General features: G+C 46.0%; 2 annotated features.

Moving 5' to 3' along the window:
* Positions 921-1,421: an enhancer, noted in NCBI's record as "H3K4me1 hESC enhancer chr1:244240280-244240780 (GRCh37/hg19 assembly coordinates)". NCBI's record gives its function as "activates a minimal SCP1, AML or CMV promoter by ChIP-STARR-seq in naive H9 embryonic stem cells {active_cell/tissue: H9 hESC(naive)}" and the evidence as "EXISTENCE:reporter gene assay evidence [ECO:0000049][PMID:30033119]".
* Positions 11,330-11,528: a silencer, noted in NCBI's record as "fragment chr1:244250689-244250887 (GRCh37/hg19 assembly coordinates)". NCBI's record gives its function as "represses an EF-1alpha promoter that drives an FKBP-Casp9 reporter gene in an ReSE screen in K562 erythroleukemia cells {active_cell/tissue: K562}" and the evidence as "EXISTENCE:reporter gene assay evidence [ECO:0000049][PMID:32094911]".

A 22,175-nucleotide genomic window follows, 5' to 3' on the forward strand; every position in this document is an offset into this window, starting at 1 on the left:
AGTGTTGTGCAAAGCACTATAGGGTTTACCAAGAATAAAAATATTGTCCCTGTCCTGGAGGACCTAAAAGAGACCACAGAGAAAAAGGCAAGTACACATGAACATGTGTTTTGCTTTGAGGATCGTGCAAAAAAGCTGATATGAGGCGAGCACCTCATGTTTAACGTACTCTGCTTCACTCGACATAAATTCCTGCTAGCTTCCCTAACAAAGTTTCAAGGTAGGCACTAACACCATTTTACAGATAAGGAAACTGAAGTTGAGAGAGTAATTTTTCCAGGAACCAGGGTTCCAACCTAGATCAGCTGACTCTGAAGCTTATTAAATCCACCTGTGGAAAATCAAGTTAAGAAACAGATTAAAGGGGCCAGGTGCAGCACTTTAGGAGGCTGAGGTGGGCGGATCACCTGAGGTCAGGAGTTCGAGATCAGCTTGGGTAACATGGTGAAACCCTGTCTCTATTGAAAATATAAAATTCGCTGGGCGTGGTGGCATGCTCCCGTAATGCCAGCTACTGGGGAGGCTGAGGCAGGAGAATAGCTGGAACCCAGGAGGTGGAGGTTGCAGTGAGCTGAGATCGGGCCACTGCACTCCAGCCTGGGCGACAGAGTGAGACTTCCATAACTTTTATGATATAGTTTTCAATCAGCTGATTTACCTCTACGATTTCAGGAACACCCTGGCATGTTGCACGAGGCTTTGCCTGCTGGGGTGTCTGTTGTTCAGTCTAGACCAGCATGCAGCCACGGCTTCTTTTGGCCTCCGTGGCCAATTCCAAAAGTTCATGTGAGAAGGGGTGAAGAGGGATTTTAGAGCCAGAAGGGAATTGAGCTTTCCTCAGCCTTATAAAAGCATGGAAATTGAGACCCAGAGAGGTTAAGTGCCTGGCCTAAGGTCACACAGCTTGTTAATGGTGGGGAGACGAGACTTGGTTTTGCCCAACTCTCCTTCTGCCATCTGTCGCTACTCAGCACAGTAAAGGAGATGGCGCAAGTCATCTGTGGCTCGCAGAAGTGCTAGGAATAATCCCATTCACGCATTTGATGGTACCTACTGGAGCCCCATTATTTCCAATTATTTACATGCTCCGGGCACCTGCAGCCAACCTGTACGTGCCCTTTCCCAGGGGTCAGACTTCCCTGGTGCCATGTGGACTCAATGCAGCATGCAGCCTCAGCCCTATTTTGTCTCTTCTATGCATTAAGGGATCCGTTTACATTTAATTGAAGCTTGGCATACTCTGAGCTGAGGTGGACTTGCTTTGGCCTTCTGAAAAAAGCATGCAGTTTTGGCCTATGAGTTTGAGTTTCATAGAGTAGCTTCCAATACCGGAGGGAAGCTGGCCTGTTACTCTCTGGAGTCTTTCTGAATCGCACAAAATCTCTGTGTATGCCTTCTTTGTTGTTCCTTTCCCAGAAGCGTGAAGTCCCTCAGATTCCACGGCGGTGGGGCTGGGAGAGCCCAGGTCCGGTGCGGGCCAGAGATCCCTGCGCGTCGGCACGTGAGCAGCCCCTCTGCGGTCTCCCGTCCTCACGGAGAGGCTATTACAGCAGAAGCTCCCTCGGCCCCCTCCCCACCCCCTCGTAGTTGAGGAGGAAGTGAGAAAGGGCTTGGCTTGGTGCCTGGCACACAGCAACCCTCCGTAAAAATGCCAGCTATTACTATTGCTATTGTTGCTATTATTCTCACGACTTCTCCATCTTCTGCACCACCCACAGGCTGCTTTGCTGTGAACACGGGGATGTGGAGAAGAGTGAATGAGCTAGTGGGATGGGAGCGACTGAGTGTGAAGGTTAGGGAGGGAAATAAAACAGCCCACAGCCCTGCTGCACTCAGCACCTTCTCCCTGCCTGCAAAGTCCTTCCTGGCATCTCTGGAAATCCTGACTGCCCCACGAGTCTCCCACCTCCTCCCCTGTTTCTGCACCGCCACTGGGATTGGTACTTGCAACTTGAATGGCTCTTCTCGTGTGCTGCCTTCTCCAGGGCCCACTCATGCCTGTGGCTGTTGCGACCCTACTATGTGTCATGCATTTGACATTGAACATCTTATTTATTCATTTAGTTATTTATGGCAGGGTCTCACACTGTCTCCCAGGCTGGAGTACAGTGGCATGAACACAACTCACTGCAGCCTTGACCTCCTGGCCTCAAGCAATCCTCCCACCTTAGCCTCGCAACTAGCTGGGACTACAGGCACTCACCACCGTGGTCAGCTAATTAAAAAAAATGTATTTTGTAGAGATGGGGACTCTTGCTATGTTGCCCTGGCTGGCCTCGAACTCCTGGGCTCAAGCGATTCTCCTGCCTCAGCCTCCCAAATTGCTGGGATTCATCTCTTTTAAATTCTCACATCAACCTTAGGAAGGAGATGTTTCCCATTAACCATGACAGATAAAGACACAGGGCTCAGGGCAGTTAAGTGACTTGTCCGAGGTCACCATAGAGTGACAGGGCAGAGAGGCAGGCTTGGGTCTGTCCAGCTCCAAAGCCCATGCTCTGTCCATGCATCTCAACACTCGCTATTGCTGCAGCTGTTGTTGGCTAGCCCTAAGGTGAGCCACGGTCACAGACCTTCAACCCACAGCACAGTTGGGGGATATGGGTGATTTTCTTTTCTTTTCTTTTCTTTTTTTTTTTTGTTTGTTTTTTCGAGACAGAGTCTCACTCCATCACCCAGGCTGGAGTGCGGTGGCGAGATCTCAGCTCACTGCAACCTCTGCCTCCCAGGTTCAGGAGATTCTTCTGCCTCAGCTCCCTCCAGTAGCTGGGATTACAGGTGCGCGACACACATCCGGCTAATTGTTGTATTTTGTAGAGATGGGGTTTCACCATGTTGGCCAGGCTGGTCCCAGACTCCTGGCCTCAAGTGATCCACCTGCCTCAGCCTCCCAAAGTGCTGGGATTACAGGTGTGAGCCACCATGCCCGGGCTCGACTTTCTTATTTATGCATTTCTGTGTTGACCATATCTTTTTCAATGAGCTTGCATTACTTGTGTGCTGTAATAGGAAATAATATTAATAATCTCTGACAGCACCCTGGACAAGTGTCAGCTCACTGATTCCTCATATAACCCTGGGTGAGGATCTTGTGATTATCATCCTTGTTTTCTAGAGGAGAAAAGCAAGTTGTAGAAATGTTAGATAATTCACCTGCTGTCATCCAGTCCATAGTGGCAGAGCTGGGGCTTAGACCCTGGTGGGCCTGATTCCCAAGATCTACTGTTGACTGTGGAGCTTACTGCTTCCAAGTGGAAGAGAAGGGTTTTGTCTTAAGAATACAGGAAGCATTTTGTTTATATGAAATATCCATAATCAGCAAATCCACAGATACAGAAAGCAGATTTGCTGTTTCCAGGGTGTGGGGTGGACGGTGGGAGATGCAGAGTGACTGTTAATGGGTACAGTGTTTCCTTTTTTCTTTTATTTTTTTGAGACAGAGTCTCGCACTGTCACCCAGGCTGGAGTGCAGTGGCACGATCTTGGCTCACTGCAACCTCTGCCTCCCGGGTTCAAGCGATTCTCCTGCCTCAGCCTCCTGAGTAGCTGGGACTACAGGCATGCGCCACCACCCCCAGCTAATTTGTGTATTTTTAGTAGATATGGGGTTTCACCATGTTGGCTAGGCTGGTCTCCATCTCTTGACCTCGTGATCTGCCCACCTGTTACTAAGCTGTTACTGAGTATTTCTGGAGGCAGGTATATTTTGAAAGCTCTTTTATTTTATTTTCTTTTTTTTTTTTTGAGATGGGATCTTGCTATGTAGCCAGGCTGGAGTGCAGTGGTGTGATCTTGGCTCACCTCAACCTCCACCCCCGAGGTTCAAGCGATTCTTCTGCCTCAGCCTCCTGAGTAGCTGGGATTACAGGCATGTGCAACTACGCCTGGCTAATTTTTGTATTTTAGTAGGACGGGGTTTCACCATGTTGGCCAGGCTGGTCTCGAACTCCTGACCTCAAGTGATCCACCCGCCTTGGCCTCCCAAAGTGCTGGGATTACAGGTGTGAGCCCCCGCGCCTGGCAGGAAGCTCTTTTCAAGAGAGAAAAAAAATCTCATGAATGCAGAAAAAGCAGCAGCAGCAGCCCATGGGGATGGGAAACTCTAAAAACAGCATAGGAACAGGTGACCATTGGAATTATTTACTCTACCAAAGGGGTCTGGAGGTTGAAAAATCACACTAGCTAAGGGTTACAGTCTGCTAAACGCTAAGTTCTTTATGTTGATTATTTCAATGAATGTTCATCAGAACCCTGGGAATAGTTATTTTTATCATATCCATTTCACAGATGAGGAAACTGAGCTGTAGAGGGGTTAAGTGGTCATCAGGACACTAGTAAGAGGCCGAGCTGGGCTTTGACTCCAAGTGGTCTGACCTCCAGGTCCACACTGTCACTTGTGTGTCCTGATCCATTACCTGTGAGTGCAGCACCCACAGGCAAGTCCCACTTCACTTCGAGAAAACATTCCCATTTTTATTCTTCCTGCTTTCATCAGTAACTGCTTGTCCGGCAGGAGTAAGTGCTTCAGAAATACTGAGCTCAGTGAACCTGCTAAACACAGGCACCCCGGTGAGACTCTGCCGGATGATGACAAATCGTGTTCACATTAACCTTGTGCCCTGAAGGTTGCCTTTGGTGGGAAGAGGCAGAGAAGACGTGAGTTTCTTGCCAATTCCACCTGGTGGAGAGCCTGCCAGGCCTCCTGACTTGTGGTCCTGTCTCTGACCGGCACGGTGGCTGCTTTTCCTAGGCAAGTGCGGCATAATGTCCCTCCCTGTGATGGCCGGTGCAGCTGCCCAGGACAGGTGTGCAAAGACACAGCTCCACCGAGGCAGGGTGAGAAGAGAGTTTTGAAGATTGAAAAACAAAATAAAAAGCCAAACCCATAACTTTCTGCCGTAGATATTCTTTAAAGTCCTGGTGGGGGCGAGGTTGGAGTTATTATGCTCTGTGTGTGTATGATGAGATACCAGGGCAAGCCACTGTTAATTTTATAATTCAAATTCTGTTTGAATAAATAACCATAAAAACAACAATAATTACCCCATGCTCTGCAAATATTTGCTCTCCACATAAGGGTTTATGGTAGAAGCATGAAGTCTTGGGGTCCTCAAACTTCAGAAAACAAAGGGTACAGATCTTAGGGAAGCTCCAGGCAGAAACTGAGGGGGCTCCTGGAAAGTCTCTGAGTGTAAATGATACAAAGGCCGTCCCTCTGATGGTTGGCAGTAGGAGAATAATCATATCCTGGCCATTCCAGATTTATTTATTTTATTTTATTTATTTATTTTGAGACAGAGTCTCCCTCTGTTGCCCAGGCTGAACTGCAGTGGTGTGATCCTGGCTCACTGCAACCTCCGTCTCCTGGGTTTCAGTGATTCTCCTGCCTCAGCCTCCCAAGTAGCTGAGATTACAGTCGTGCACCACCACACTAGGGTAATTTTTGTATTTTTAGTAGAGATGGAGTTTCACCATGTTGGCCAGGCTTTTCTTGAACTCCTGACCTCAGGTGATCCTCCCACCTCAGCCTCTCAGAGTGCTGGGATTATAGGCATGAGCCACCGCATCTGGCCCCATTTTAGATTTAAATTCCAGAGCCATCCACAACCATTTTCCCTGCTCTGTGCATGCCCCCGCTTCCCCCAACCCCAAATCTAATCAGTTGATGGGATCCATCAATGTGATTTCTGCATTGCTTCTCCTCTGTCTGCCTTCTACCTGCCTGTGTCTAGTGCAGTACCTCATTACCTCCTGCATGGACCATTGCAAGAGTCTCCTACCTCGTTCTTCTAGAAACCAGTGCAAACTTTCAAAAGCATGGACGAGGTCAACTCACTCCCTCGTTCCAAATTCTGTAGTAGCTCCATTTTACTTACAGAATAAAACACGAACTCCCCAGCCTAGCATATAATACACTGGGTGATCTAGCTCCATCCAATCTTTCACTCACTACTTATTCAACACGTATTCCCCGAATTCCTCCACGCACCAGGCATTGGCATCCCCTCTGTGTGCACAGTGCTGCCAACAAAGTCCTCGTCCTTCTTTCAAGGACCCCAGAGGGTGGAGGGGGTCACACCAGGGTGCTAAGGACTTGCCCAGCTGGAGCCCCTGTGAGGTCAGGGAAGGCATCCTGGAAAAGGTGACTTATCTAAAGTCACTTGAAGTCACCCAAAGAAGGCATAGGAGGGAGCCAAGAAAAGATGGAATGGGTGTGGGACGGGAAGGCAAATGGAGCAGGTACCCCTTACCCAGGGATAAGGGGGTGCGGGCAGTTCAATATAGCCATCGCCTGTGAGAGGGAAAGTGAAGACAGGAGGAAGTGGGTCTCTATTACAACAGACTGGAAGAACCTGTCTGGGAGTTCAGGCTTAATCTTGAGCAGTGGGAGGCCATGGAAGGGTTTAAGCAGGAGAGCGCTATGAATAGATTTGCATTTTAGAAAGATCATTCCGTCTGGAGTTTGGAGAAAAGATTGGAGAGAGGGAGAAGAGAGGCAGGGAGGTGGTTATGAAGCCCCTGCAGGAGCTCAGGCAGAGGGCGATTGTGGCATTGGGGATGGTGGCGTAAAGAGTTGACAGAGGTAAGAGGCATTGAGGTGCTGAGGGAGGAGGTCTTGGCAATTATTTGATGTGAAGGGTGAGGGAGAAGAAGGTGACAAGCCCACGTCACAGGTCTCTGGCTTGGGTATGCGTGCAGGTCGTGGTGCCGTTTTCTGGGATGGGAGCATAGGACAAGCAGGTCTCAGGTCTGGGTGAGGGTGGGGAAGCATGAGAGGGTGAGCTCAGGTCTGGACATACTAAGAGTCAGTGCCTGTGAGACACACGAGGAGAAATACTGATTGAGACTGACAGAAACAGAAAGGTTGAGACAAAAGCCAAAGGACACCAGCGCCAAGGAAAGTCTTCAACAGAGACGGAGAAGGAAGAGACACAGAGGCAGGAGGAAAACCCAGGGAAGTGGGTAATCCAAGGCAGGACACCAAGTAAAGTCAGGACAGAAAAGCACTTCTTGGTTGTCCTGAGTCAGAAGATTGTTAATGACCTTGACAAGAGCAGTGTCCCAGGAGTCGGTGCTGGTATGGGGAGGATCCAGGGACCTTGACAAGAGCAGTGTCCCAGGAGTTGGTGCTGGTATGGGGAGGATCCAGGTTGGGTTGACAAGTTGTTCAAGGTGAGAATGTGGAAGCAGGAAGTGAAGACCAAGTCTGTCAAGAACTTCAGCCATGAATAGTGGAGGAAAAGAAGAGGATTGAGTCCTGGGAGGGACAATCTTCAAAAGAGGTTCCCGCTCCCATTCCTCCCCTCCCTCTCTCCTTCCCTTCCTCCCTGCCCTCCCTCCCCACTTCTTTCTCTTTCAACAGGCGGATCAAGGAAGGGGCCAGAGGAGCTGGAGCAGGTGGAGCTCCAGATTCAGGAAGGAGAGGGAATGATCCATAGGGAAAGTTGTAGGGGAGGGGCTCCCAGCATGGGTGGAGAGGTTGGCCGTGCAGGAGGAGGGATCCCTCTTTCACTGTTGCCAAGAGGAGGAAAGGAGAGGGCAGATGCAGATGAGCCTGGTGGTTGGGGCCAGGAGTTGGGAAAGTCATCTCCTCATCCTTTCTAGCCTTGAATTGCTCCTGTGCATCAGGGCCACACGCACTCCTCCCAACATGTGCTGACCTTTCTCCGTGTCACCCTCTACATCTGCTCAGTGAGTTCCCCTTTTTCTGCACGTGCTTCATTCCATCTTTAAATGCAAAGGCATATCCAGATTTTGTGGGACCTGAAGTGTACACAATTTGGGACAGTCTCTTTAACAAAAAGAATGCTAAAATAGATCACTTTGGCAAATCTTACAAAAATCCACAGAGATGTGAACACAGCTCTGCAGCCCTTCCTGGGACCTTGAAATGGATCCTTGTAAGCTAGGATGCCTGAAGGTTAAGCTTCATTGGCTTTATGTTAAGTCTTCCTCCATTTAAATGTGAAAATCCTACCCAAACCTCAAACTTGAACAACAGCAAACGAAATAAAATAAAGAAAGAAACCCCAACACAACCAAAAAACTTCCTCCTTGAAGTTCCTCCCATTCGAACTAAATAAGGAGAGCCTTAGCTTCCCCATCTGGAGAATGGAGCTAAGAGCCTCTATCTCCAAGTCCTGAGGATTCAGTGAGGCAGCATATGGACAGAACCTGGCATAGTTCCCTTCCCATAATTGGTGCATACAAAATGATTGCTGAAGAAATAAAGGGATGTATGAACCTAACTCTCTTTTCTCATTTATCGCTTTTTTTTTTTTTTTGAGACAGGGTCTCATTGTGTCACCCAGCTGCGGTATAGTGGTGCAATCGTAGCTCACTGCAGCCTCAAACTCCCGGGCTGAAATGATCCCCCCTCATTGGACTCTCAAGTAGCTGGCACTACAGGTGCACATCACCACATCTGGCTAACTTTCGTATTTTTTTTGTAGTAACGGGGTTTCAACATGTTGCCCAGGCTGGTCTCAAACTCCTAGCTCAAGTGATCCTCCTGCCTCAGCCTCCCAAAGTGCTGAAACTACAGGAGCGAACCACCACACCTGGCCTCACTTATCACTTTGACCTACATGTTAGTTATCTGCATGCTCATCTTATCTTTCCCATTAGACTCCAAATACCTTGAGCATGTCTTGTTATTTTTGAGTCCTTCATAAGGTCTATCAGTGTGTCTTGCATACAGTGGGTATTCAATCAATTTATTGAATGAATGGATGGATGAATGAATGGAGAGTATGAATCACTTCATTAAGAAGGAAGTTCATTGTTAGGAGAGTTGCTTAGAAATTCGCCTAAATGAGTTTTCCAGTTGAGGCTATCAATTCTTGGTGTCCACGTTGTCGGGGATCAGTTAACAAAAGAACAGGAAGGACTGGAGCTGTGTCTTAACAGATAACACACATTTGGTTGAGGAGGCAGAATGTGGAGAAGTCAGGGCTGGAGACTTCAACAGCATTCAGAGTTTAGTTGGTGATATTAGGAACCTTCAGCACAAGACAGTCTGTGGAGTGCTGCTTGGGTTAAACATGATAAATTGGAGTACCCCTAAACTAGGCAAAAGCTGTCAAATGCAATTCAGGAAGACAAGTGTAATGAATATGTAGCATAATATGGGTAGATTTCTTACCGGATGCATTTTGAATATATTGCTGCTTAGGAAAAGCTCATTTCCCAGAGGTACCCACATGGGGGAAACTGCTTTTCTGTTTACTTCTCAAAGGGCTGTTGTGAAGATTAGATGGAAAAAAATGTAAAAGTTCCTTGTAGACTGTAAATGCCAGATAAATATTCTTTATTATCACTGTTATTATTGCTTTCCTGGCCTTATCTCTCTCCTTACCCTCTCTTCTCAGACTCTATATCCCACCAATTTCCTTGAAGTATCATCATTCCCCAAACACATGAGTGTGTTCCTAGACCACAGGGTAGCCTGTACCAAGTGGTATGAGACATGTATGTGTGTCTGCCTGTTCCTCAGATTCATTTTTACCCCTCAGTCCTGAGCACGATTCCTGGCACAAAATAGGAGCTTGGTAAATGTTTGCTGGATAGAAAATGCTCTCAGGTGATGGGAAAATAGTTCTTGGATCATTTCATCTGGCCCCTTTGGTTTCATCTGACTTTGGTTGTGTGGTCTTCCTAAGAAAGGCAAGTCTAGTTTCCAAGACACTAGACCTCTTTATTATTTCTAGGACATCAAGGCCATACATATTCCTTGTTACTCTACCAGTCTTGAAAAAAAATGACCCTCCTGGAAATTCCAGAAAGCCAAGAAACCAGAATATTCCTGTTCTGATGTAACTTCTAAACAATTCATAATATCAAATTAAGAAAGACAGCTTTTTTTGTTCCTTTCTTCCTTTCTTTTTTTTAGTGGAAAAAGCCCCAACAAAATATCCAAGAATGTGGGTTTAGAGCCATGTGATCTTATCCAGAGCACTTGACTACTTGGAGTCTCCATTTCCTCTTGTGTAAAACGAAGATAATAATTCTGTCTTGGCTTCCTTATGGGGACGCTTTCAAGATGAATAGGATAATGCATGTATCTCCCATAGCCCTGCAGCCTTATGCTTCATCCTGTCAGTGCAATCTTTTTAGGCAGGGCCCTTGGTAGACACAAAAGACATGTATTGATAAACATTGGCAAAGGGTCACAAAAGGGAAATACTAGGAAAATATGGAATAACAGCTCTCCCTGGGGGCAGATCAGTTGGTAGCTGTTACGAGGTGGATTTCATTCTAAGACTGGCAATGGGGACCATTTGGCAGGAAGAATGGGAATGTAAAGCACAGAGGGGAGAATTCCGGGGCCTACACCCGTCCACTCCTCCTTCCTCCTCTTACAGAGATGCCTGGTCCCAGGAACCCACCCTCTCCTGTCTTATTGTGTCATAGGACCCTGCACTATGCTTGCTACCTCTGTATTCGACATCCCCCTCAAAACTGGCTCCTTTCCACTGATACACTCAATCTCCACCATCTTAAAAAATATCCTCCCTCAACCCTGTAAACCTTTGCCTCGATTTCTCCCTTTCACTGCCCAGCAACTTAATGGAGTTGAATATTCACTGTTTCTAAATCCAGTGAACACTTTCCTGTCTTCATCTTATTTATTTGTTTTTTGTTTTTTGTTTTTGTTTTTGTTTTTGAGACAGGGTCTTACTCCGTTACACAGGCTAGAGTGTAGTGGTATGATTCTGGCTCACTGCAGCCTTGAGTTCCTGGGCTCAAGCAATCCTCCCAGCTCAGCCTCCTGAGTAGCTGGGACTACAGGTGTGTGTGGCCATGCTTGGCTAATTTTTAAAAATTTTTTGTAGAGATGGAGTCTCACTATGTTGCCCAGGCTGGTCTCGAACTCCTGGACTCAAGCGATCCTCCCACCTCGGCCCTCCCAAAGTGCTGAGAGTCACTGCGCCTGGCCTCTTTATCTTATTTACGACGCTCGCTCCTTCCTTGAAGTGCTGCTTTCCTGGGGGCATCCAGTACATCACACTCTCCTGACTTTCCTCCCATCTGTGGCTGCTCCTTCTCCATCTCTGTTACGGGTTGAATTAGATTCCCTCCAAAAGATAAGTTCACGTCCTAACTCCCGGCACCTGTGAATGTGATCTTCTTTGGAAACAGGATCTTTGCAGATGTAATCAAGTTAAATGGAGGTCCTGTTGGATCGGGGTGGGCCCTCATCTGATGACTGGTGTCTTTATAAGCAGAGGAAAATTGAGACACAGACACACACAGAGGGCAGACGGCCATGTGGTGAAGAGGCCGAGATTGGAGAGATGTGTCCAGAAAACCAGGAATACCAACCACTACGGGGAGCCACCGGAGGCTGGAGTGACGCCACGAAGCATCTTCCCCTAGAGCCATCGGAGAAAGCACGTCCCTGCCAACACCTTGACTTCTGACTTCTGGCCTCCAGAAAAGTGAGAGAATAAATTTCGGTTGTTTTCTGCCATGGAGTTTGTGGTACTTTGTTACTACAGCCGTAGTCTCCTTTCAGGCTCAACCTACGTTACATGTGGATTTTCCTAAATGCTTAGTTCCAGACTTCTATTAATTTCTCTATGTATCTTCCCTCCTAGGCGACCTCCTCCACATCTACCCTTCAGCTGGGGCTTCTCTCACCTGTACATCCTACCCATCTTTTAGAGCACAACTCAGACCTTCCTCCCACAGGGAAGCCTTCTGTGGCAGATGCTGCTGGTGCCCACCCACATCTCCTTGGCACGCCTCACTCCCAGTTCAGCTTCTCACTGCAAGCTGCTCCTCTCTGCCCGAGTGCTTTCTCTGGCTGCAGGAGTGCGTGGGGGCAGAACAGAACGGCAGAGAACTGACACCTCCAGGATCAGCCTCCAACAACAATGGATGGGAGTTGCAGAATATATAACCCAGCTTCCTCGCCCCCGACCAGGGACCTAGCCTGTCTCCTGGAGGCCCCAGGGGACTAAGCCTCCCTTGTCCATGGGTAACCTGCTGATTAACTACCCCCATATTGGTTTTCTTCTTTTTCTCACTTCTTTACCCTCCTAACTTGCTCCTGAGATTAGCCTGCTCATCCTCAAATCCTTATCTCAGGGTCTGCTTCTGGGGAAATCTAACCAAGACACCTTAACTGAATTACCAGCCTGGGGCAGGTTCTCTGATCATTCTTTCTAACAGCACGAGGAACCTTGGCTGCTCAGATGCGATTGCAGTTTACATGCACACATTTCTTTCTGTGATTATTTGAGTAATGTCTGTTTTTTGTGCTAGAGCAGGGGTCGGCAAAACAACAGCCATCAGGCCAAATCCAGCTGCAATGGCTCATTTCCGTATTGGCTGTGACTCCTTTTGAGCTGCAGTAGCAGAGCTGAGTAGTTTCAACAAAGATCTTATGGCTTGCAAAGCAGAAGTATTTACTACCCGGTCCCTTACAGAAAACGTTTATTGGCCCTTGTGGTAGGCTATACATTTGTATCAGTTAGCTTGGCTGGGTAAGAAACTACCCAAAACTAAATTTTTTGAATTTATGTAGCTCACAATTCTATGAGCCGACTGGGTAGCTTTTCTGGTTTAAGCCCGATCAGCTGATTTCTGCTGAGTTCTCTAAAGTGTCTATGGTCAGCTGGTGGGTCAAGTGACAACAATGGTACTAGGATGGCCTCACCCACATTTTAGAAGGTGGTAGCTGTTGGCCAGTGAGACACTGGCAATTAGGCCATGTGTCTCTCGCCATCCATCAGGCTGCCTTGGGCTTCTTCATACAGCAGTGGCAACAGGGGTTCTATGAGTGGCCAGACAGGACAGAGCACAAACATTATTCAAGCCTCTGCTTGCGTATGTTGTCTAACATCCCATTGCTCAAAGCCAGTCACATGGCTGAGTTCAGCATCAAAGTGGGGTGGCACCAAAAGGGAACCCACTAAACCTATGGCTATTTTTACAATTCACCATGAAGCTCTACGAGGGCACAGACCCTGCACGTACTCGCTCACCATTCTATGTCAATGAGTAAAGCACAGTGTCTGGCATAGAGTTGGTGCTGAATAAATCTTCATTAAGTAAATGAATACAATTTAACTGTTTGAATAACAACGACCTTTTATTGAGCCTTTGCTATATAGTTGGAGTGGTTTTAGATACTTCACATGCATTAGCTAATGCTTACCTGAGAGACAGACCCCAGTACCAGACAAGACAGACAAGACAGCCGAGGCTCACCATCAAGAACTTGCCCTGTGTCGCAAAGGCAGTCTGAGGAATCAGAATTTTAAACTAGTTTGTTTAATTCCAAAGCCTGCTCTGTTAATCATTATCCCCTCCTTTTTTTTTTCACTAAAAGCTTTAAATTTTTTACAGTTTCAAATTTCTTCCTTTATTTTACTATTTTATTTTATTTCTTTATTTTACTAATTTCATTTTAAAATTGGGAGCTGGGTGTTTCTCTTGGCTTCCCCAGCCCTTTCTCCTTGGTGGCCCAGAGGTCCTGTTAACACCTCATAACCAACCTCCATTTCAGTGCCGGGTGGTAATTTTGACTTAAAAAGTTAGCTTGTGGGACAACCAACAGCCACACACCTAAAATCACTGCTCTTGACAGCTCAGCAAAATTGAAGGCCAACATTTCACTCAAGAAGGCAATAAATCCAGCCCCCAAGGCAGCTGCTGAGAGGCGCTGAAACAGCGCTGTTATCTTATCTCTCATACCATTCAGGCCGTACATGAGGGAATCCATGGATCAAAATCAAAAAAGTCTCCAGAGAACATAGTCTTCGAAATGACCATTGTTTATTCAGAGTTCAATAATTAATCAACCCCACAAACCTTTCTTCAGCACTTACGGTATTCCAGGCATTATGCTACTCACAATGGGAGAACATAAGTGAACAAGAGCCCCTGCCGTCGAGATGCTCGTCTAAACAGACAATGATTTGGCAATGTATTGAGTGTTCTGGTGGAGACGTGCCCAAAGAGTACACAAGGGGGGCGGTGAGCTCGGTTTGGGTGAGCTCGGTTTGGGTGGGAAGCTGAAGAGGAGAATAGGAAAGTCTCTTATACAACCTTGGGAATCTAATTCAGGTTCAAACAAGGTTGGGCTTCCAAAATGGTACAATGGAGTAATCAAGCTCATGGACTGAGATGTCTATTTGCAGATTTGTTATTTCTGCCACTTGTTATTTGTGCAATTTTGGAAGAGATGACTTCTCTAAGCCTTAGTTTACTCATTCATGAAATGGGTGAAAATATTATCTGCTTCAGAAGGTTTTTGAGGATTAAATTTAAAAATATATATATATATATGTCTTGTGCTTAGCATTATTTTGGGCACGTAGTCAATGTTCAATAAGTGACAGGTGTTATTAGTGATTGTTAGTAATAGTATTGCTGGTAGTAGCATTCTCACCTATATTGCCCATTCCTTCATTCATTTAAAAAATATTTGTTAAGTGTCTGCCGTATCTCAGACTCCATGGTGGACACAAAAATGACAATATGTACATGAAGCCTTTCAAAAGGCTTACAGCTTAGTGTAGAGAAGACACATATATAAGTAGCTACCTTCCCGTCCAGAGCTAGGCTCGTATCCAGTAAGATTGGGCCTGGAAGCCTCCTGCACGTCAGGACTGTTTTCCCTGGGATACACACTTTTGCTATCTTGGACCACTTCAAATCTGTTTGATTTCAGATTTATCTCTGGTTTTTCATTTGTAGTTTCACTTTTGTCTCTTTGTCTTGGTGCTTGATACAACTCTATTGGTACTGACCTCTGGCTTTCATTTTTGGCTAGGGCTGATATTTTCCCTTTGGATTACGTGATCTAGGGCCACTCTAGGCAAACATCTTACCTGACCTAGCCTGAGCAGGAGCCTGATCCGAGCTTAGTCCTTAGGGGTCCACCAGATGGCAAATTGAAGGTAGTGATTGAAAAGCATCTCCAAGAAAAAAATGGCAAAGTGCTGTGGAGAGCCCAAGGGGGAGCCAGCCTGGCCTAGACTCTACCATAGTGGCTTGGTGGACAGAAAGCAGCCAGCTCCTGTGTTGTCATTCATTTCTGTGCAACGCAGAGCTCATCCTTGCAGCCTCATAGCTGACTTCATGTGACTCTGCATATATACACCTCTTGTTAATTCATCCAGTGCTGTGAGTTGTTGACTGTAACTTGACATCTCTAACAATCCATCAGTTTATTTATTAATTATAGCAAACTGGTTTCAGCCACAGAAAATTAGAAATGAATTTTTCAATAAGCCACGTCTCCAGGGATAGTTCACAAAATCAAAAGGAAGAATACCTGGCCAATCTAATTCATTATCACAATCAAATAGTGCTAAATGGTTCTTTGTGGGATAAGCTTAAATTAAGAAATTGTATTAGCAGCTCTAATCATTACTGATTATTTAATTATCGGCCATTTAAAAATCATCTCCAGTTTTGAGATTATGGATCAGATTGAGATTTACAACATCCTTCTTTAGTTCACTCTACCCTCTAACAAGATGTATTGCAATATTGTTGAGTTAGCACTGATTTTACCTCGATCCCCATCGTAGTTCCTTCATTCCATGGCAACCTGGAGCAAAGATAATAATAGCAAACATTTATGGAGTGCTTATTATGTACTAGGAATGTGTTTGAGTTCATAAATAACTCATCAATGAGAACTCATACATGCTCCTAGCATACATTGCGATTGATTATATTTATTAACTTATTTAATCTTCATAAAACCCTACAAAGTAATTATTATTACGCCCATTTTATAAATAAGAAAACTGACGCACCAGGACATTTGATTGAAGTGTTCACAATGAATAAGCAGGAGAGCAAAACTTTGAGCCCAGCTCATCTGGCTCCAGGGCACTAGAATCCATGCCTAACCACTAGGTCACTTCGCCTCTAATGCCTCCCAGCTTAGTGTTCATTGCATGGCAGGTGCTCAATCCAGCCAACCATTGGAGTCCCCACCAGATTGTAGGCTCTTTTGAAGACAGTGTGGTGTCTTGTTTACCTCTGTATCTATCCTTTACCATTGCTAGCACTGAGCTTTGAGTAACAGAAACTCAACTCTGTGTGTGTGTGTGTGTGTGTGTGTGTGTGTGTGTGTGTGTGTAATTGGAAAGGTAAGATTGAGGGAGGGAGGTAGCAAAAAGAGTAAGATAAAGATTTTACTAATTCCAAAAGTAGCCTGAAGTCTAAACATGTTACAATCTCTACTCAGAATCTTTGGGGGTAAACATCTTTAACACATACGAGTGTATCAGAGCCAGGCTAAACCATGACTAGATGACCCCAGGTCTGAGAAATCAGGGCCTGGACATACTCTGAGAAATGTTAATAGGTAACAAAGAAAGTCGGAACGGTTGGTGAGTTAATATTTGAAATGCAATTCAGATGAAGTCATATCCAGACTCTGCCAACTTTCAATTGCTTCCAGCATCTTCAAACACCACATGCCAAAATCTTCCCTCTACCTCACTCACCAACACTTCTTCTTCCCAGTCACTGCGGCGCAAAATCCCGCCTTTGAATCCTCCTTCTCCCTGTGCCTCTCTCCCCTACCTCCATCTACCCAGTCTCCAAGACCACAGACTCAACCTTCTCCTTATCATGCCCACAGGTCCCCAACTCCTCCTTCCCTGCCAAGTCTCCTGACCAGCCTCTCTGCCTGTTCTCATCTTTCCTCTATCATCTATGCACCACTGTTGCTGTTATCTTTTTCTAATTGCAGTTTTAGTATATCCTTCTCCTCCTGGAAGATATATAGTAAACCCCCACTCCTGCTGGAGTACATAGTCCTTTACCTTGAATTCATGGGGCTTTTATCATATCACTCAATTGAGTAATGTAGGTTTTATTCCTGCCTCCCATCCCACATTCAAGTTCACACTCTCCACTCTAACCCAAGTGTACTATTTCTAGACCCGCACATGTTACCTGCTCTTCCCTCCTGCCAGGTCTTTATGGACTGCCGCTCCTTCAGCCGAAACCTCCTATTTCCTGCCTGCCTTTCAATTCACATAAGCTTATTGCTTTTTACCAGCCAAACCCAAAGAGACACGTCATTGAGGGTGGTGAGGCTCTTTTAATTTCTCTTCTCAAAAGACACATTGTCTAGCAGATTATATTCATCAGCCGTCAGGACACATGCCTAGCTTCTTTATTACCTGCTGTGCTTTTATGTCGGCCTCGTCAATGGGTTGTCTGTCAAATCTGAACTTTGTCTTTCTCAGGGGCAGGTCTCTCTCAGCCTTACTTGTTTACCTCATAGTCTGTGCCGATTATTTCTAAAGACGGCCACTTTGGAAGAAACCTACCTAGCTATGGGAGATGCCTCCATAGAGGGAAGGCAGAGCCAGCAGCCAGGACCATGAACCTGGAGGTGGATGACCTGAGATGGGATGGGAGGAGCAATTGTGTCCAGGTGCCGGGTGCTCATTCCTTTGACTCCGTTTGACACACCTGTTATTCCTCAAATGCCTTGAATAAAACAACCAAGTCAAATTCTCTTCTTCCTAAAGGGGATCATGATAGACCTCAGCAGGTTTTGGACTCAGCCAACAAAGAATAGACATTTTTCATATTTAGAAAATAGGCTCACCAGCCGGGTGTGGTGGCTCACACTTATAATTCCAGCACTTTGGAAGGCTGAGGCAGGTGGATTGCTTGAGCACAGAAGTTCGAGACCAGCCTGGCCAACATGGTAAAACCTCATCTCTAAAAAAAAAAAGAAAATAAAATATACTCACCTGTGGCTCGCCTATGATATAATGGACATGAGCATCATCCTAGTGACAACTGAGAAAACTCATTTCATCCATTTCTGCATTTTGCAGACGCTGGGTCACTCCTGGTTTGGGATCCCATAATCCCATCTGCTTTAGATAGATGCTAAGTAGGTTATTTATTCTAGAAGTCTTTAACTCCTATCCTAAGTAGTGGATGCCATTTCTCGCCAGGCTATTTATTCCAAGTGACCCTTATAAATGGTTCATTCAAGAGGAACTCAGAGTAGGCACTCTCCCCTACCCAGAATTTTCCTCAAGATACAGACCCCTTAGTTTGCTACCGATCCCATTAGAACTCTATGACAACTCTCTCCTTAACATGTTTCAAGTCTGGGTCTTCAATATTTTGTCTTAGGACTATAAAGAATCTAGGTGCATTAGTCCATGACCACTTCCTGCTCTACTTTTTCATTTCAACAAGGAAAAAACTGAGAGTACCCTATAGGTTTTGCAGAATAGCCTTTCAAATATCCAGTTTCACAAAGGGAACGTGATGTAGTATGAAACAAACCATACAATCTCGGAATCAACAAGCAACTGTTAATATTTCCTCGAAGACTGAATCGTCACTTACTGCAGATAACTGTTCTGAATACCAGTATATTCATAGCACTCTCCTAGGCACTGAGAAGAGGGCCAAGGTGACGATGGGAAGGTGAGAAAATAAATAAAATGGGTCATCAACCTTAAAGGAGTTACAGGCAATTCCTGTTATTCATGGTAGTAATGTTCTATAAAGTCTCTGTGAACACTGAATCAAGTGAATACTGAACTACTCTTCCTAGGGGAAACACAGGGTTATGTTCCTGTGAGCCTCTGGTCCCAACATTTTTGTCCATTGATCAATACATACCTTGTCTTCGTGTGTGTGTCTGTTTACAGACACGACATTTAACACATATTGTTAACTCATTAACATTGAGCTCATGGCCAACAGCATCAGAACTCATGGGTGAACGAAGCATATCTACACACGTATTTTCTCCTCAAGGCACATCACAGAGTTCGTGCACCTAGAAATGCTAGACGCACTGCAGCACTACCCTTGGGGGCCATTTTAAACAGCAATAGCATCGAAAAAAGCACAAAGGTGCAAAAAATGTGTCATTAAATGTACCACAAAAAGGACACTTGTTTACAGGTTGAAAATTAAAATAAGCAGGCAGAGCGTCCCCTTGTTTGACCTCACGTGGGGACGTGTGTGGAGAGCGATTCGTTTTTCTCCACTCTGCACACATCTGCGCTTGTTTGTGAAAGTGCCACGGTATTGATTTGGGGGTTACATAAATTCAGCAAGTGGGCAAAGTCACAGTTCTGGAATTCATGAATAATGAGGACAAATTGTGTATTCTAAAATGCATGTGAACAACAAATTACACAATTTCTAAGACAGAATTGGGGCAAAAATGAAATATTGTAACCTGGACCAGCTACATAATTTGCAGGGCCCAGTGCCAAGTGAAAATACAAGGTCTCTTGATCCAAAAGACAGCAGAGCAGGAAGCCAGATGTGGGCCTTTGTGAGTGAGGGCCCTTTACCACTGCAGTTCCTGTACCAAGGAAGCTGGCCCCGACCTAACAGTGACATGAGTACAGTGTGGGGAGCAGACTTGGGGACTGGACCAAGTGACATGAGTACAGTGTGGGGAGCAGACTTGGGGACTGGACCAAGTGACATGAGTACAGTGTGGGGAGCAGACCTGGGGACTGGACCAAGAAAGGTTTTCTGGAGGTGGTAGCATTTGAACAAAGCCTTGGATGGCTTGAGAAAGTGGCTGAAATGAATGGCTGAACACCACCAATTCACGTAATGCCCACCATATTTACAAACAAGTCTGGAGGCCTGCTGTGAACTCCATGGTACACAGGTTGCATAACACTTACTGACTTGACCACGAGCCAGGTCCTGGGACAAATGGTTAACATGCGTTCTCTCATTTAATCATTACAATAACCCTAAGAAGGCCAATGTCATGGCCACCCCCATTTTACAGTTGAGGAAATGGAGGCTTATTGAGGTTAAGCAACTTGCCCAATGTCACACAGCCAGGGGCAGAGGAACGGTTTAAACCCTGACCCTCTGGCCCCCAAACTTACTTAGAACCTTCATCAGACCATATTTCCCTTTTTAATAGGCAACTCATATTGCCCTGTTTTTTAATGGAGCCATCTTTGGTAGTCTCACTATCAGTGGGGCCAGGTAAGCACACCTGTATCTCAGAGGGGATAGGTGAGGCTGAGAGGGTACCTCCAACCCTAACCTACTTCCCAATCCTATTGGTTTCTGAGGAAGGAAACGGTCATGCCACTGAGACATGGCCAGGGCCCTTAGACTTGTGTAGTTCCTTAGAGTTTACAAAGTGCTTCCACCTTCATTATCTCACAGGTTCTTGCAACAGTCCCGTGAATTCCTGACACATTTTACAGATGGGAAGCTGATTGTGAGGGAGGACAAGTGACTAGGCCAAGGGGCAGACAGGCAGGCAGGCAGGCAGGCGAGGAGTGAAGGCGGGAACCGGAGCCCAGACCTGCAAGCTCCTGGCCAATGTTCTTCTGGCTCGGCCCCTCGGCCTTCACCAGGACCATTTGGTGGCAAGTGGTTTAAAACCACGGTACGGAAATGCCTCAGCTCCACATCTTCCCCTGCCGAACGCCTCTCACTGATACAGTGCAGGTGCGTGTGTCGGGGTTTGCTTAGCAAATGCATTCTCCTTTGGATTTTGGTTCTTTAAGAGTGGGGCAGGAACACAGAGTATTTGATAGGATAATTAATACTCTGAATAGTACACATGACAGGAATCTGCTGGCAGTTGAGGCTCAATCTGTGGACTATTCAGCTGAAGGGGTTTTCTAGCTTCTCTGAACAGGTTAATTAAGCAAAGTTGCCGGAGGGGGCTCCCCTTGGTATGGGGCAGGAGGAGCAGAGCAGCATTTGAAGACTCGCGCACCGACTGGCATCTTTACCCAGCACCGGGAGGCTCTTTGGATCCAAGAGAGGAGCCTTTTCTTGCTTTCTGCTTGCCTTGGCTCTGGTCCCTGGTCTCTGTCTTGCAGCCAGTGTGCTGAGGCCCTCTTGGGCCCCCTGTCCTGCAGCAGACGTGAGGGGACGGAGGGCTCTTTCTCCTTCCAACAGTGGCACAAGGAGGAGGGCAAGGTCCTTTCTCTTCCATGTTGAGATGGGCTGTGGCGGGAGGGAGGGAATAAAAAGAGACTCTGGCTCTGTGTTCCAGAATTAATGGTTAGCGTCTGCTGAGGCTATTTGCGCTGTAATCGAAATTAAACAACAAAAAGCAGGGATGAAGCAAAACAACCCAAATGATCAAAAACCATTCGGGTGGTGGGTGTAAAACTCGCTTTCTCTCAGCAGCAGAGGTCCAAGTATACATACCCACTGGAAAGCTGAAGTGCTGAACAGAACACCTTTGTAGTCACTTTTGCTGAGACACATGCACACGCATACATTTAAGGAGGAATGCGCCATTCGCTGCCCTGCGAAGTATCACACGTCCGCATAGTAAGCAGTACATTTCACACATGAATGAGGGGTCTGAATCTCAAATGTAAGCCACTGGAGATCTGTGAAAATTATCAAAAGGGGTGAGTAGAAATTCAGCAATTTTATTCCGTTCAGTAAAGGAATAAGTCTGTGGTCGCTAACCATCCTTCTGTCTCATCAAGAAATTTTGTGGTAGACTCATTCTATGGAAAGTTTGTCTACAGTTTTCCATCTGCTGTGATAATCGTTATTAATCAAGCTGCTGTCATACCATCTTGGGCTGTGATTTTGTTAACCCCTCCATGCCAGGTAGGGTTTGTCCTGGGGAAGGAAGATGTACCTGAGGGGCCTGGATGGTGCATGCTCTCTGCATCACGTGACAAGTCTCTGGGCTATTAAATGTCATTTTCTAAAAGAAGCATAAAATGGGGACTGTGAGGATCTATCTGTTCTAAGACTCACCCATCAGATTTACCTGAGATCCTGTTTGAGGTGGGGAGTCAGTTTCCTAGCCCACAGTTTTTCCATGCAGTTCATGTAAGTCTCTGATTTCATCAGAAAACTTCTTATTCACTGTCTGCCCCACAGCTTCCCGTTTCTTGGCCCCTGTTGAGTATGCACATGCCAAATGCCATTTCCAGGCAGTAGGGAGAGGGGACTCCTGGGTCCCTAGGAAGCTGACCCTGAGTTAGTGTCTGGAACTGCCCCTGAGTCGGTGGTCCATGGAAATCAGTGCTTTCGAGGTTTTTTGGTTTGTTTACTTTGCTTTCGTACTATTTTTAGAAAGTAATTTAAGGCTAAACAATGTTTTAAAAATAATCTAAAAATCTCATCCACCACCAGAGATAATTAGTTGCATGTGGAGTTAATTTAGAAACTAGAACCCCAGCGTTGGG

Source organism: Homo sapiens, chromosome 1 (genome assembly GCF_000001405.40).
Source record: "Homo sapiens chromosome 1, GRCh38.p14 Primary Assembly".
Lineage (NCBI taxonomy): Eukaryota > Metazoa > Chordata > Mammalia > Primates > Hominidae > Homo > Homo sapiens.